The 14,241-nt window shown below is 54.7% G+C and overlaps 1 long non-coding RNA gene across 2 annotated transcripts, besides 2 other annotated features; it reads left to right on the plus strand.

The window, feature by feature from the left end:
* Positions 4,886 to 5,387: an enhancer, noted in NCBI's record as "H3K4me1 hESC enhancer chr6:168499911-168500412 (GRCh37/hg19 assembly coordinates)". NCBI's record gives its function as "activates a minimal SCP1, AML or CMV promoter by ChIP-STARR-seq in naive H9 embryonic stem cells {active_cell/tissue: H9 hESC(naive)}" and the evidence as "EXISTENCE:reporter gene assay evidence [ECO:0000049][PMID:30033119]".
* On the plus strand, positions 4,959 to 6,579 carry LOC107986548 (uncharacterized). Of its 2 annotated transcripts, none has more exons than XR_001743902.2 (3): positions 4,959 to 5,485; positions 5,831 to 5,872; positions 6,088 to 6,579. It is a non-coding gene; the product is annotated as an uncharacterized LOC107986548 (long non-coding RNA). The 2 variants fall into 2 exon arrangements; XR_001743903.2 differs by having other exon boundaries at positions 6,114 to 6,579.
* Positions 11,615 to 12,602: an enhancer, noted in NCBI's record as "H3K4me1 hESC enhancer chr6:168506640-168507627 (GRCh37/hg19 assembly coordinates)". NCBI's record gives its function as "activates a minimal SCP1, AML or CMV promoter by ChIP-STARR-seq in primed H9 embryonic stem cells {active_cell/tissue: H9 hESC(primed)}" and the evidence as "EXISTENCE:reporter gene assay evidence [ECO:0000049][PMID:30033119]".

Raw genomic sequence — 14,241 nt, forward strand, 5'->3', positions numbered from 1 at the left:
CCTCCCCCACCCACACATGGCCTCCCCCACTTAGTGGTGTATGGGTTACAATCAATGAGCCTGTGCTGACTCGCCACCGTCACCCAGAGTCCATGGTGACACCAGGGCTTACTCTCGGTGCCAGCCATTCAGAGTGGTTCCACTGTCCCCAACTCTCAGCCAAAGCAGAACAGCTGGGGAACGGGGTGAAGGTGCTTACACCTTTTCCAGATGTGTTCACACACAGAGTCACATCGAGCAAAGGGTTTACATTACCCCCATTTCACAGTTGGAGTAAACCGAGGCCCAAGAGGAATAAAAACATTGCCCAAGACGGGTGCCTGTAATCCCAGCTACTCTGGAGGCTGAGGCAGGAGAATCGCTTGAACCCAGGAGGAGGAGGTGGTTGCAGTGAGCTGAGATAGTCATTGCACTCCAGCCTGGACAGCAAGAGTAAAACTCTGTCTCAAAAAACAAAACAAAACAAAACAAAAATTGCCCAAGAAACAATTACAGAAATGAGAACCAAAGTACCCGGCCAGGTGCCACTTCTACCGGCCCCTCCCTCGCGCAACCCCTTCTGTAACTCACCAGGGACTGGAGCCCCAGGGCAGGTCCAGTGTCCCCAGGGGCCAGAGCAAGCTCTGGGCCCAAGGATGCCCTGGTGCCTGCACAAGGGGTGCAAGGGGTCAGAGGTGTCCTGGACCCTCAGCAGAGAGTGGAGTTACCCCTGTGTGTTTAGAGGGACTTGACAAAGCTCACCTAACAGAAGGGAGAGTGACTGTTTTTTCTGTACTTCACATCATGAATTGAAAAATCAGGGGTCAAACTGTAGAAGGGGCACCGAATGACCACAGCAGTGTGGTGCCTGAGCCGCCAGGGACAGAGTACGGAGCCCACCTGGCAGGATGTTGGGGACAGCACTTGCCTGTCCCAGGTTCTGTGGCAGTTTCCGATGCCCAAAAGAGGCATCTTCCGCCGACGGGCACAACGGACCATAGTGCTCCCTCCCTCCCAGGCAGCGGGAGCATGGAGCTGACCTGTTAGCTGCTCACAGAGGTCAGTGAGATGCAAGCCTGACCTGGGCCTTCCTGTCCTCGTGGACAAAGCAAATTGCCTCTCAGCCTCTACACCCACCACAGGGCGAATGCAGCCACCCAGCCCCCGCCAGACCCCTGGCAGCCCCCGGCTTTGGACCGGGGTCCTCTGACTGTCCTTCTGTCTGTGTGCTCAGCCAGAACCCCAGAGGGGCCTTTGTCACAGTCCTGAACTGCTCCCTACCAGGCCTCCCGGGACCCGGCACCTGTCGCTGGGGAACAGGCCCAGGGCCCAGGGTTCAGACACAAATGCTCAGTGACATCGATAGAGTAATGGGCCTCGTGCCTGGTCTCCCTCCACAAACCCTGGAAGGTGCCCTATACGTTTCCAGAGTCTTGAAGGAAACCATTGGCCCAAATTGTGTTATTCATGGAAAGGCACCAAAACAATTTAAAATATGTGAACCTCCAATCAGCACTACCCGGTTGATTTAAAACCCCACACGCCGCCATCCATTTAATTTTGCTACATTTAAGGACAACACAGCTGTTTGGGGTTGGGGGCCGGCGGGGGCCGGCGCCTTCCCTTTATCTGAAGTCCACAGGCCTGGTCCACTTTCCAGGCACAGATGTGGTTTCTCCAGGCCCTTGAAGTTTGCAGAGAACTGTGCATCTGGCAGCACACGGAACACCGTGAGGACGGCCCAGCCCCAAGAGCTCCCATCTCCGGGGCCAGCACTGAGAGGCAGGCACCCTCTTTCCACAAGAGCCCAAATGGAAGAGTTCTAAGACACAGTAACTTCAACACGTGCACCTGGATGAAGGAGAAGCCATCAGCTTGGAGCAGGCAACGCTGGTAATTCTAGGCCTGAGACAAGGACAGTGGAAGAGGAGGACCCCTGGCTGCTTTCAGGTGGGGAAAGGCCAGCTCCTCACTCCCACCTCCCACTCGGGAAGCCTGGGCCGCCTGCACCTCTAAGCAGGACCGGTTGATCAGATGAACAAGCCAGTCCCCTGGCAAGACCTTGGGCGCGCAGCAGCCACTGGGCAGACAGACAAGGGCCCAGGCTGACCCTGACAGGGGGTCCGGGACAGTGTGCTGCCCACATTCAGATGCCTGGGTCGTTGGGTCATTGCTGGGCACCCTGCAGATGGGAGCAGATGTGACTCTAGGGGATGTCCAGGCCACACAGGGCTGGCCCACCAGGAACTGGGGTGGGTGCCCTGAGCCCGGCTCCCAGGAAGGGGAGAGGAGGCGGCTGTTGCCTTCAGGGCTCCTCGGCCTTATCAGGAATGCTGGCCAGATGCTCCGAAGCCTCCTGTTAGGATATGTTTCCCTTCCTAGGTGGCATCAGAGCGGTGGGCCAGTGGCTCTGGCCATGGAGGCTGGTCGAGGGATGGAGGGGGCGCGGCTTTTGAGTGTATGCTGCTGGGTGGAGGCTAGGACCTAGCCCATCTCTGACTCGTTCACTCACAAAACAAAATTGTGCATTGACTCTGGGGCACAGAAGGCCTAGGGGCACAAAGGCAGCAAGAGGAAGATTCATCCTGTGAGTTCAGCGCCAGTGACAATTGCCTTGGCACCTGTGCGGGGGTTGGGGAAGCTCCCTGGAGAGTGGGGGGTGGGGGGTCCCACACAGGTAAGACCCCGGAAGAGGCTCCATTTCCATGTATTTTGCATCTCCTATGTGGGGCAGAGCTGGGACAGGTGCTTTACTGTCACCTCTTCCTAATTCCTGCTGTAACCTGCAAGGTTCTTGCACACTGCCCAGCGTCCCAACACCTCTGTGAGCCGAGGCCAGAGCCCAGCTCAGCCTGCTGAGCCCAGAGCACCTGGCCACACTCCACCGGCTGCTCCGTGTGTTCAATCACCACCATTATAACACAGCTCACACTGCGACTGGGACACCATGCCCCAGTGTGTCCACGGTAGGAAGTGCGAGGCCGCCAGGCCACCTTCCCTGCACAACACCATGCACGGTGCTGGCTTGGGATGTGACATTTTGGCAGCCAGTGCTGACCAGCGCACACCTCCATGATGCACCAATGGATGGCCGTGGGTCATTGGTGGGGCACACAGCCCTGCACCAGGCAGCCCTAGCCCCGCTGACGGGACAGGTGGGGCCAGGTGGGCTCCTGAGGCTTGGTTGGGGGCACCCAGTGGAGAGCATGGGGGAGGTGCCTGCACCTCTGCCCTCTCCAGAACATGGAGCCCAACGGGGGCAAGACCACCCTCCCTTGCAGCAAAGCCCTCCCTGGCCAGTTCCACTGTCCACCCTGGGTCTCTGCTGTCCCCGGCTCTCCTGCTGGGCTGCAGACACAGCAGCCTCTCCCTCTTTTGACTGTGCCCTCCCTCCCATCTGCTGCCCCAGGGGTCTTGAACACATCAAGAGAGGCAATGGCCTATTTGGAAGTCTCCGACTGGGCCCGGGCCCCTCCGCTGTCCACCCCCAGTCCGTCTGCCACCGTGTGCTGTGCTCACCGTCCCGGGCCCAGGACACCCCAGCAGGCAGCCACCACTCCATAAACACAGATGGACTCTGACTAATTGTTCCACTTAGGAAATTTGGACTTGACAATGGGTTTATCAGGGAATCAAATGCATTTCTGCACTTGGAATATGTTTGGCTTAGGAGGGGTTTATCAGCAGGTCCCATTGTCATTTGAATGTCTGACCTTGAAAGGCAAATGGTTCCACATGCTTCCCAGAGCACCTGGCGCCGGTGCCGTGTCACTCATGCCCGCGATAATCTGCTGCAGGCTGCCTGCCCACCGGGCAGCAGTTGGCAGGAGACGCAAGCAGAGATGGCGCGCTCCTGCTCACTGCCCGCCCTGGCTCTATAAATATTTGTTCAAAGAAAGAAGTGACCTTCCAGCCTCAGTGGTGCCTTCCAAGTGGCACTCCCCCCACCGAGCCTAGGCCTGCTCTCCCTCCCACACTCCCCCCACCGAGCCTAGGCCTGCTCTTCCTCCCCGGGTGGGGTTGGGATGGAAGAGAGACAGGGTCTGGGTGAGCCACCGGCTCTAGTCATGGCTAGGAGGAGCAGGAATGCCTGCCTGGGGCAGGGGCTGCACCCTGTAGGCCACGTGGACTGAAGGAGCCCACCCGGCCGGCCCTCAGCCTTGTGGGCCCTCAGCTTCTGGCACCCTGGGTGATAAGTGTGGGGCTGGCAACACCTCTCCCGTGGATAATGACCCCCCACCAGCCTTGGTGACCGGGGCCCAGGCAGATCCTGTGCTGAACTCATGGGTGTTCCCAGCCCAGGCGACACCGACAGGACTCCTGATGTTTGATGGGACCCCCAGCACCATTCCACCTGGGGCCATGGCCATTGTCACCTGGTGCTCCTCCAAATGTTCCCGGAGGGACCCTAGGAGAGGTGAGGTCTCACTGACCCCGCCAGCAGCAACAGCAAGAGCCCCCGCTGCCCCTGGCCTGGTGCCTCGCCCACATGCTCAAGGGGACGGGAGAGCAGCCCAGGCAGGGTGACCGTGGCTGCAGTGATGGCTGCACTGGGACAGGCACCACCTGAGATTGTCCCCAGGCAAGACAGGCCTGGGGTCCACCTATGAGGAGGGGAGACCTGAGCCTGTTCAAAATACAGCCGTTTTCAAAACTGAAGGTAAAATTCCCATCAAATCCAAAACCCTGGTCTGCATCTCAGTGAAGATGCTTCGGACAAAGCTCAAGGCAGTGACTCTGGGTGGGGAAGTTTGTGTCCTTGGGAAGCCACTGTACTTTTAGAATACTGAGCCTTCCAAACAGACACCTTGTACATGTCAAGAAAATGACCCTATTGCTTCTAAAACAACAAACAAAATTGTGAAACATCAGACAAAATCTGCATTGTAAACAACCTTGCCCTGCCACCTCTCCCAACACCGACTTTAAAAGCTTAGAAGCCCCGAGTGACAGCGTGGATAAGCAGACCAGCTCTAGTGCCTCCTTAGCTATGCGAGGCAGTCGCTGTACTTGCAGGAAGTGACTGAACCCCTGCAAGGCCGAAGCCCCTCCCTTAGCAGGGGCCGAACAGACCTCCTCGCCGGGAAAGCAGTGATCTGTGAGGCTGAGTCTGGGAATCCCCCTCTCCAGAAGAAATGAGATGCAGCCGCTCTCCAGGTGCTTAGGAGGAGCTGTGGGGTCTCAGCGGAGGAACTTCACCAAAGACAGTCAATGCAGAGCCGATACGTCCTGGCTAAACTGGATCTCCGTGGCAGGCGGCCCCGCCTGGCCTGGCTTTCGGGGAGACATTTCCTGCTGCATCCTGCAGAGAACACCCTGCGGTCCTCAGGTTCCTGACTTCCTTAGTCTTCTCGGGGCCTAAGGTTTCCTGAGTTCAAGTTCAAGTTCATATCTGAAGGGGTCTGACAGGCGCCAGGCCAGAATCCTGGATAACTGGCACCCCAATGACCACTCGGCTGTCTCTGGAAACTTCTCCATGGGTCTGGACCCCCTGCTCACCTCCGGGGTATGTGTTCCCAACTGTGGAGCTCATACAAGCCCACCAGGCCATTCTAGCCATGCCCAGAGACTGGAAGGGGCCCTGTAATGCACCCTGAGTCTCAAGAGGCCTCCCCATTGTGTGACCAAGCCCGGGGTGCCTGGTGACCTCTTGTGCTGCAATCCTGGGCACCAGAGAAACCTTCTAAAGCCCACGGGGGATAAAGGAGACACAAATGATGCTGAGTGGGGGACGACTAACAGAGCCCCCTGTGCCCCCGGCCAACCAGGCTGCACTCCCCGCCCCACCTGGAGTGGCTGGTGCTGGGGACGGCTCCTCCCCAGCTCCCGTTCTGTCTGCCTCTTTCTGCAGAAAGACAGACTACACCTGCCCTGGCCCGCGGGAGCACATAGGGTAGGTGAAGGCACAGCCCACTTTGGTTTTCAGTCGTCTTTTCCTTAATACTTAATGGGGCAGGGGGTGGGGGAGGTGGGGCTGGGGCGGGGAGGTCCCACAGAGGAGGGCTGAAGTTCTGAAGAGGCATGGGTGGGGAGAGGCGGCATGGGTCGGGGGAGACGAGATTTAGGGCCACCCAGCGACGGCGCCCCTTCCCCACCACCCCTGCTCAGTCTACTCAGGAAACATCACCACCTAGGCTCTTCCAGACCCTTCCGGACCCTTCCAGACCCTTCTGGAGGTCCTGCTCCCACGTTCGCTCACCTCCTACGCCAGCCTTACTTTCAAAGACGGGAGAAAGGGGGAGCTTTGGACGACCTCATGGAACAAAGGTGAGGATGTCTTCACTTTGGTAATTAAATGCTTAGATGTCATTTTGTGACCTGATGTCTGTTCCTGCCCCTGCAGCACACAAATCACTCAAACCTGCACCCTGGCCAGGGTCTGCACCTCCTGCTCCGAGCACTGGCGGTACCTCATCTCGGGTGCCAGCCTTTTGGCTCTGGAAGCAGCCACAGCTAGGACTGCCGCTGGGAGAGGAGAAAACTTGGTTTGTAGAAGGCAGGAGCAGAGCCTGACTCCAGGATCCTCCAGGCCTGTGTGGGCACCTTTTAGGGTCCAAAGCCCTCTAGAAACACGCTCCAAAAACCAAATTCCAGCCCACACCAGGGTGAGGGTGGGGTGGGGAAGGGCGTAAAGGCAGGCAGAGCTTCCGATTCCCTTAGCCAGCATCTGCTTCTGAGCGCAGAGCCGCGGGGAGGGCAGACAGGAGGCTAGGGGAGGGGACAGGGGAAGGGGGGGGTGTTGGACTGGAGGGGAGGTGGGGAGAGATGGGGGAAATAGCGGGAGGTAGGGAGGAGGTGGGAGGAGGTGAGGGGGAAGTGGGGGCGGGGGGGTAGGGCCAGGGCTCCTTCCAGAAGGCAGGCAGGGTGCACTTAGCCCGGGGCAGGGACCCCCATGGGCCGGCGGGTCCTCCTAGACCCGCCTCAGTCCTGGAAACCCCGAGGGGACGACAGCGGAAGCCGCCTGGGCCCTGCGCTCTGGGCCCTGGGGTGCAACCCCTGAAACTCGACAGTTAGCGCCACTCCCCGCCTCCGGGGTCCCCTCATCTGGTGGCGGCGGCTGGAGAAGGGCGCACCCCGCCCGCGGAGACCCACGCGCTCACCTTCCGGGGGCCGAGGTCCGGCTCGTCGTCCGGCTCAAGGCTCCGGGCCGTGGTCCCGCCGGCGGTGTAGAAGCGGCCGCCGCTCTTGTGCCCTCCGGGTGGGACCACGTGGGGAGGCAGCGGTGACCCCGGAGGGTGACGCGGCCCGGGGTCCGGATTGGCCGGCGCCGCCCGCCCCCTCCCCGCCCAGCCGACCCTCCCCGGCAGGAGCGCGGGCCGTGCAGGGTCTCGGGGGTCGAACCGTCCTGGAGGTCACACGGCCCCAGAGTTGCCTGTCCCAGGGGTCGCCCAGTCCGGAGGGTCGCTCCATCCCCGGGTCACACGTCCCCCGATTGCCCGGCCCAGGGCTGCAGCATCCCAGCCTTGCAGAGGCGATCGCGCCACCCACCCCAGACGGGCCGCTCCCTGCGCGGACGCACCGGGTTCGGCGCCTTGCAGGCTGCTGGCGACCCCGCTGCCGGGTTTCTCCCCGGACCTCACGGCCTGGACAGCACACTCGGAACGGCGGCATGCATTTGAAGCCATCGCTGCCTGCGTTGTCGGTGGATGCGGTGGACCCGGGGCGGGCAGTGCGGAGCGCGGAGGGGAGACCTGCCCTGGGGCACAGTGGCGGGGAGGGGATGGTCCTGGGGTTTGCATGGGTGATGGGACAGTTCCAGCCCCGAGAGCGGGAAGACGACGCGGCGGTGGAGCTCTAGGAAGGGATGGATGTTATCACCGTGCAAAACCAGACCACCGCCCAGGAGGGCAGTTGAAGCTTCACTGGCCCAGGGCGATTTGCCCCGTCTGAGGGTGACATTTGGGCAGACACCTTTAGGAACGAGGGAGGAGGCCTCTTGGATATTTAGGGGGAAGTCGGGGGTCCCAAATTGAGGACCAGCAAGTGCAGAGGCCCCAGGCACGCTGGGGGCTGAGAGAGAGCAAAGAGAGGGAGAGAGGGCGTCATTCCTGACCCCTGAGGCTGAGCTCCCAGAACCCAGCCTTGGCTGTGTTCTGAGACTCTGGGGAACCAGGTTCCAGGCCGCCCAGCATCAGGGCTCGGGGCGTTTCTCTACCGTCCTGGTTTGGATTTCTCCTTCCCCTTCCTCCCCCTGCCCCAGGCCTCATATGTTCCCAGTTTTCCTTCAGTGCTGATCTTCCAGCATATAATACTATTTAGCCATTCATTTTGACAGCCTCCCCCAGTTAGAATTTAAGTGCCAGCAGGGCAGATATTTTTTATCTGTTTTGTTTACTGCTGAAACCCAAGCACCTCCAAGAGCTGCTGGCACTGGAGAGTTCTTGGCGGAATGAATAATTCATGTATCAGGGCCCAGATCAAATACAGCAGCTCAGGTAGAGTCCTCCCACTCCATTCAGTCATGTCAGCGCACCTGGCACCTTGCCTTAGGGGAAGTAGCTCCTACGTGGATTTAATTCCCTTCTCCTCCTCTTCCTTCTGCACTCCAGCAGGAACAGAGCAATGCACCATTTAAATGAAGGTGGTTCATGCCATCCACACACTTGCACAATAAGGACAACTGGGTGGCAAAGAGCTCGAGGGTTGAATCAAGAGGTCACAGACCAGCAGGAGCCAGAAACTAAGACGGGCTTGATGTTGTGGTGCCTGGGTGTTGTGTATCTGCCCTGGGTGATTTTTGCTTTTTGTTTATTTATAAGCTGGTAGCAGACAGGTGACGACTTCTGTATTCACCTGCCCGGGTAGTCTGGAAGCAGCCTCTTCGTCACACCTTTCACCCAGGCAGTGAGCCCACTCTTGGTCCACTCTGATCTCCATGGGGCCCTTGCTCAGTCATTGCGTCTGGTCCTGTGCTCTGTGGAGATGGACTTGGTCCTCCACATAGCCCCGGATGACAGCCTGCCTGCTGTTTGGAGCTGGCTGTGATCTCATCTTTGAATCACATCTCAGCGTTGCCTCTTTCCCTTGTAGACCTCTTTATTCTCTGCATTGCCACAAAATGACGTGCATGTGAGTATTACGAGGTTACTTTGTGAAAAGGGTGTTGAAATAACAGGTATTGCTGATGTCCAGTACATAAGTGTGTCAGTGTACGCAGAGTTATCACACATGGCAGCAGCGACTTGATGGAGAGAGCGAATTGGGATTTAACTCAGGAGCCTCTTCAGTGTCACAACGACTCGGCAGCAATGGCCCTGCCTGGTCTAACTTACAGGACACACAACTCGTCAATCCTCATGTGTCCAGAAGGTGCTAGAATGACAGCTGCTGGTGCTGCCGTGATGCCACCCACCTGGAGACGTGGTTCCCTGGCGTGAGGGGACGTTTTATGTGACATTTGTATAATAAAACAGCAAATGGCTCTTGACTGTTCGGATTGGGAGTTTAATGCTTCTTTCTCCCTAGAAAAAGATAAAAAATTTTATGCCTGGGGAAGAGGAAGAGGAGGAGGACAAGGATATCACTTCAAATTTTAATGGAGAAGACAAGGAAGACAATTTGAAAAAACCATGTTTTAATATTTACAGAGAAAAGTGTCTGGAGGGAAATATATTAAAATACATCAAAAGGAGTAAGATGTCCAGGTTTTTTTTGTTTTTGTTTTTTTTTTTTTTTGCTTGTTGATTTTTAAAAACAAATAGTTATTTGTATAATAAGGATTAACAAAAAAAAAATGAAAACAACCTTGCTGAAAAGTAAATGTTTTAATTCTAGGAAACAAGGTGGTTTCCCTGTGTTTGATTTCTGGCTGCAAACGGAGCAGAGCTTTAGGACCAGGAGCCAGCAGCCTGGCTCTTCATACCTGCTGCGGCCAGGAGAGGTGCAGCCTCTCACTGTCAGTCATCTGGTCTCTAGCAGCTTCTTGAGTAACTCGCCCCAAAGCACCTGTGTCAGTTTCTCCTCGGGGAGCGCTCCTGCAGTAAAATTTGGCCCCAGGTGTGTTGTATTTTGTTGCTTTAAAAGGCTCCCATTGCCCTTCTCTGAACGTCAGCTTTGTCTTTGGACCACACCCGCCTGAAATCCATGTTCCCGACACTGGCCTTGGCTGCCATGCCTCACCATGTGAGTTTTCTCTTAAATGGAACAGTTGTGAAGAGATTTTTTTCTTTGTTTTTGGTGTCTTGCTTTTTAAAGGGCAGCTACAGGAACTCTCACTCATTGCTGGTGGGAAGGCAAAATGGCACAGCCACTTTGGAAGACAGTTTGGCAGCATCTCACGAGACTAAACGTACTCTGACCACAGGATCCAGTAATCACACTCCTTGGTATTTACCCCAAGGAAATGAACACTTAGATCCAGCAAAACCTTCATGTGGCTGTTTATAGCAGCTTTATGCATTATTGTCAAACTTGCAAGCAACCCTGATGCCCTTCAGGGGGTGAATGGATAAACCGTGGGACCCCAAAAAAATGGGGTGCTGTGCAGCAGCTGAAGGGGCGGAGCCACGGAGCACGGGAAGGTGTGGAGGAGCCTTCCAGGCAGGGCCCACTCAGTGAAGGAAGCCGGCCTGAAAATGCTTCCAACAGCATGATTCCAAGGACGTGACGTTCTAGAAAAAGCGAAAAGATGGAAATAGGGAAAAGATCAGTGGTTGCCGGGACCTGGGGAGACGAAAGGATGCATAGGTGGAGGAGAGAGGATTTTTAGGGCAGTGGAACTCTTGTCTATGACATGGTCATTGTAGAGATGTGTCATCGCATGTTTGTTGGAACCCAGGGATGCGCACACGGAGACTGAGCCCCAGTGTGTACTGAGGACTTCAGTCAGCAACCGCATCCCACTGTCAGCTCACCAGTGAGGACAGCTGTGCTATAGCCACACAGGATGTCAAGAATAAGGGAAATTGGGGTGTGGAGAGGGGTACATGGGAACGCTGTACTTTCTGCACAATTTTTTCTGTGAACCTAAAACTGCTCAAAAAAATAAAGCCTATTAGAAAAATGGGAGTAGGATGTTGTACTTTTAGCTACCAAGGGTGTTTGTCCCTGTGAGTAAGAGTTAGGGAGGGAGGAATTGGCTGGGTGTGGAGGCTCACGCCTGTAATCTCAGCACTTGGGAGGCGGAGGCAGATGGATTGCTTGAGCCCAGGAGTTTGAGACCAGCCTGGTAAACATGGTGAGACCCCATCTCTACAAAAAAAAAAAAATACAAAAATTAGCAGGGCGTGGTGGCTCACACCTGTAGACCCAGCTACTCGGGAGGCTGAGGTGTCTGTCACTGCACTCCAGGTTGGGCGACAGAGCTGCCAGGAGAGGTGTCAGAGCCCCAGCATCAGAAAAACAGTCAGCTCACGGGTGGTAGGTAGTAAGAAGAATTTATGGACAATGGCATAGGTTTGAAAAAGGAGAAAAAGAACGCTGCAGAGGAGTGCAGTGAGTGTCTCAGTGAGGGGACGGAGCGTGTGATGGTCGATTTTTCTTAGGGGCATTTATGGACCTTAAAGCAGGAGCTGAGGGCAATTTGGGCCACACTAGCCATGGAGGTCATGATAAACTGAGGGTAATTTGGGCCACACTAGCCACGGAGGTCGTGATAAATGACTACATCTTTAGAGGTTCTGTTGCCCTGACGTCAGCAAGGGATGCCCAGTGAGTTTCAACATGCATGCGTTCCAGAGATGTATAGAAACCCTAGTTACTGATGACTTGTTGGAAAGAGGCTTGGAACCAGATGCTGGCTTTAGATAATAGGGAAGCCTAACGGCTTCTGAATTTCTCAGATAAGGAGTGCTGTCTCTGGATGGCCTGCTTGATGCCCACCAGGCGATCTTTGCTCTCCTCAAGAGCCAGATCTTGTCTCAAAAAAAAAAAAAAAAAAAAAAACAACAACAACAAAAAAAGGGTGGGGTGGGGGAGGAGTAGAGACGGGACATTTTGAAGACTTGAAGATGAGTTAATAGACAGTGATGGGGCTGTCTGAGGGTTTTTCCTGATGGTTGCTCCCTGGGCCATAGGCAGGTTCCAGCCAGGCAGAGGGAGCCCAGGCAGGCGGCACCCTTGCTCCAGGGGTGGAAGGAGGTGTGAATGGCAGAGGCTGCATGCTTCAGCTGGGGCTGATCTCTGTGGGAGGGAGGACACGTGAAGGAAGGAGGGGCAGGAATGGAGGACGGAGGAGGGACGAGGGTGGGGCTGTGCCAGACACTCCATGCGGGTGCTGGGTCAGGTCTGGTGGCTCCTGGGAGAAAATTTCCCCCTTTCATTTTCAAAAGATGACATCAAAACAACTTAAAGTCTTTCCAAACACAGTTCCCTGCACCCACCACTGAAGGCCATGATATAAGGAAGAACATATGAAGGAAACATGTTCCTCTCACGCATCCCTAACAAGCAGGCTGTAGGAGCTCGTCTGTTGTGAGATGGAGCAGGTCCTGAAGTCATTCCTGATGGCTGGAATTTTCACAAAAGTTTCTCACAGCATAGCACTAACAATCCAGTAATTTGAAAAATGATGAGTTATTTCCTCAACAATTTGCAAAGGTCAGAATTATTATTTCTTTGCCATTCTTTTGGTAACAAAAGTTTTCTTACTTGTCATTTGTGGGATGTTTTTGCTGGGTGACGGGCAAGTAACATGACACCACCCTATGAGCTGTGTTTAAGCAGAATTTAAAAACAAGGGGCTGGGCGCAGTGGCTCACACCTGTAATCCCAGCACCCTGGGAGGCTGAGGCAGGCAGATCACTTGAGGTCAGGAGTTCGAGACCAGCCTGGCCAACATGGTGAAACCCCATCTCTACTACAAATACAAAAATTAGCTGGGCATGGTGGTGGGTGCCTGTAATCCCAGCTACTTGGGAGGCTGAGGCAGGGGAATCGCTTGAACCCGGGAGGCAGAGGTTGCAGTGAGCTGAGATTGCGCCACTGCACTCCAGCCTGGGTGATAGAGCAAGACTCAGTCTAAAAAAACAAAAACAAAAAACAAGGTAGTTGGGGAGTGGGGGAGGACCATGAGAAGTGGGAATCTGCAGCCCCCTGAGGCCTGGCCGGGCCAGACCCCGTCCTGCTCCCGAATAGCCGCTGGCAGGATGCCCAATGCACCCACCCTGATCTGAGCATCCCCTCAGGGAACATTTGCAAATTGAGTCCAACAAGAACCCACTTGCCATCAATTCTGAATTTTTGTGTTGTGAGTCAGGCATGCTGTCACCCCAACGCAATAAGGCTTCTGTTTGACAAAAATCCAATTATTTGCCTAATAATCTCTGAGAATATTTCATGCTGACCTTTCTTAACAATAAATGTGGAAGCTGGTGGGGGTTTGAGAGAACTCTCTTCCTAGCATTGGGTCAGGTTGACACAGTCAGGATGTGGAGTGTCCTGGTGATATCTGCCTGCTTATATTTATATTACCCACCTGCAGTTTGTCCCAAATGCTGTCAGCATAAGCCAGTTCCCTTGGTGACTGAGAGAGGCTTTGAATATTTGGAAAACATCCAGCCATGTATTTCTGTTCCCAGGAAATATGTAACAAGTGTTTTCACCATTTCTTCATTGCACTAGGTCTGGAAGATTAAAAATTTTGTGTGAGTTTAACATTTAGTAACAGAATGTGAGCAGTGTTTTCTTTCTAATTACTAATTTGTTAATCTCACCTCAAAATTTAACTGTTAAGCAGACATTTAAACAAATCAAAATTAACATTTAAGCAAATCAAACTTAAGATTAAGATTTTAAATCTTAAATGAAGCAAGATTTTGCAAACTAATTTTGATTAGTAAAGTAAAAAATATTTTTATTAACTACAGCAACCTTCTGAGTCTTTGCAAATATTGTCTTGAAAGGTAGAGGCATGCCTCTAGAACACTGCACAAAGATAATTTTCGTAGTGATCCAGCTTTGAAAAGGCTCTCACATTTTCCCCGGTGTTCTTGAGGAAGAGAGAGAGGGAGGGAGGGAAGGAGGATTATAGGAGCTCTGGGACCCTTAGGGCCAGTTCACTCTGTGGGACATGGGCCAGGTTCAGTGATGGTCCACTTTGTCTGGAGCCATGAGCTTCAGGAGACCGCCCTCCTCATGTGTCCAAGGCCCGTGGAGGGGAGTTGCTCAGGGTGGTAGTAGGCGCCTTGGCCAGCCTCCAGCAGACAGCTAGGGTGTGTCTTAAACTGGAGAGAGAGGGGGTTACACTTCTAATTCCAAAAAGTCAATAAACAATGCCCCTTCCTTGAGTGTTCCAGGGGACACCTGGCCTTGTGCGGAGGGCTT

This window comes from Homo sapiens, chromosome 6, assembly GCF_000001405.40.
Source record: "Homo sapiens chromosome 6, GRCh38.p14 Primary Assembly".
In the NCBI taxonomy this organism is placed as follows: domain Eukaryota; kingdom Metazoa; phylum Chordata; class Mammalia; order Primates; family Hominidae; genus Homo; species Homo sapiens.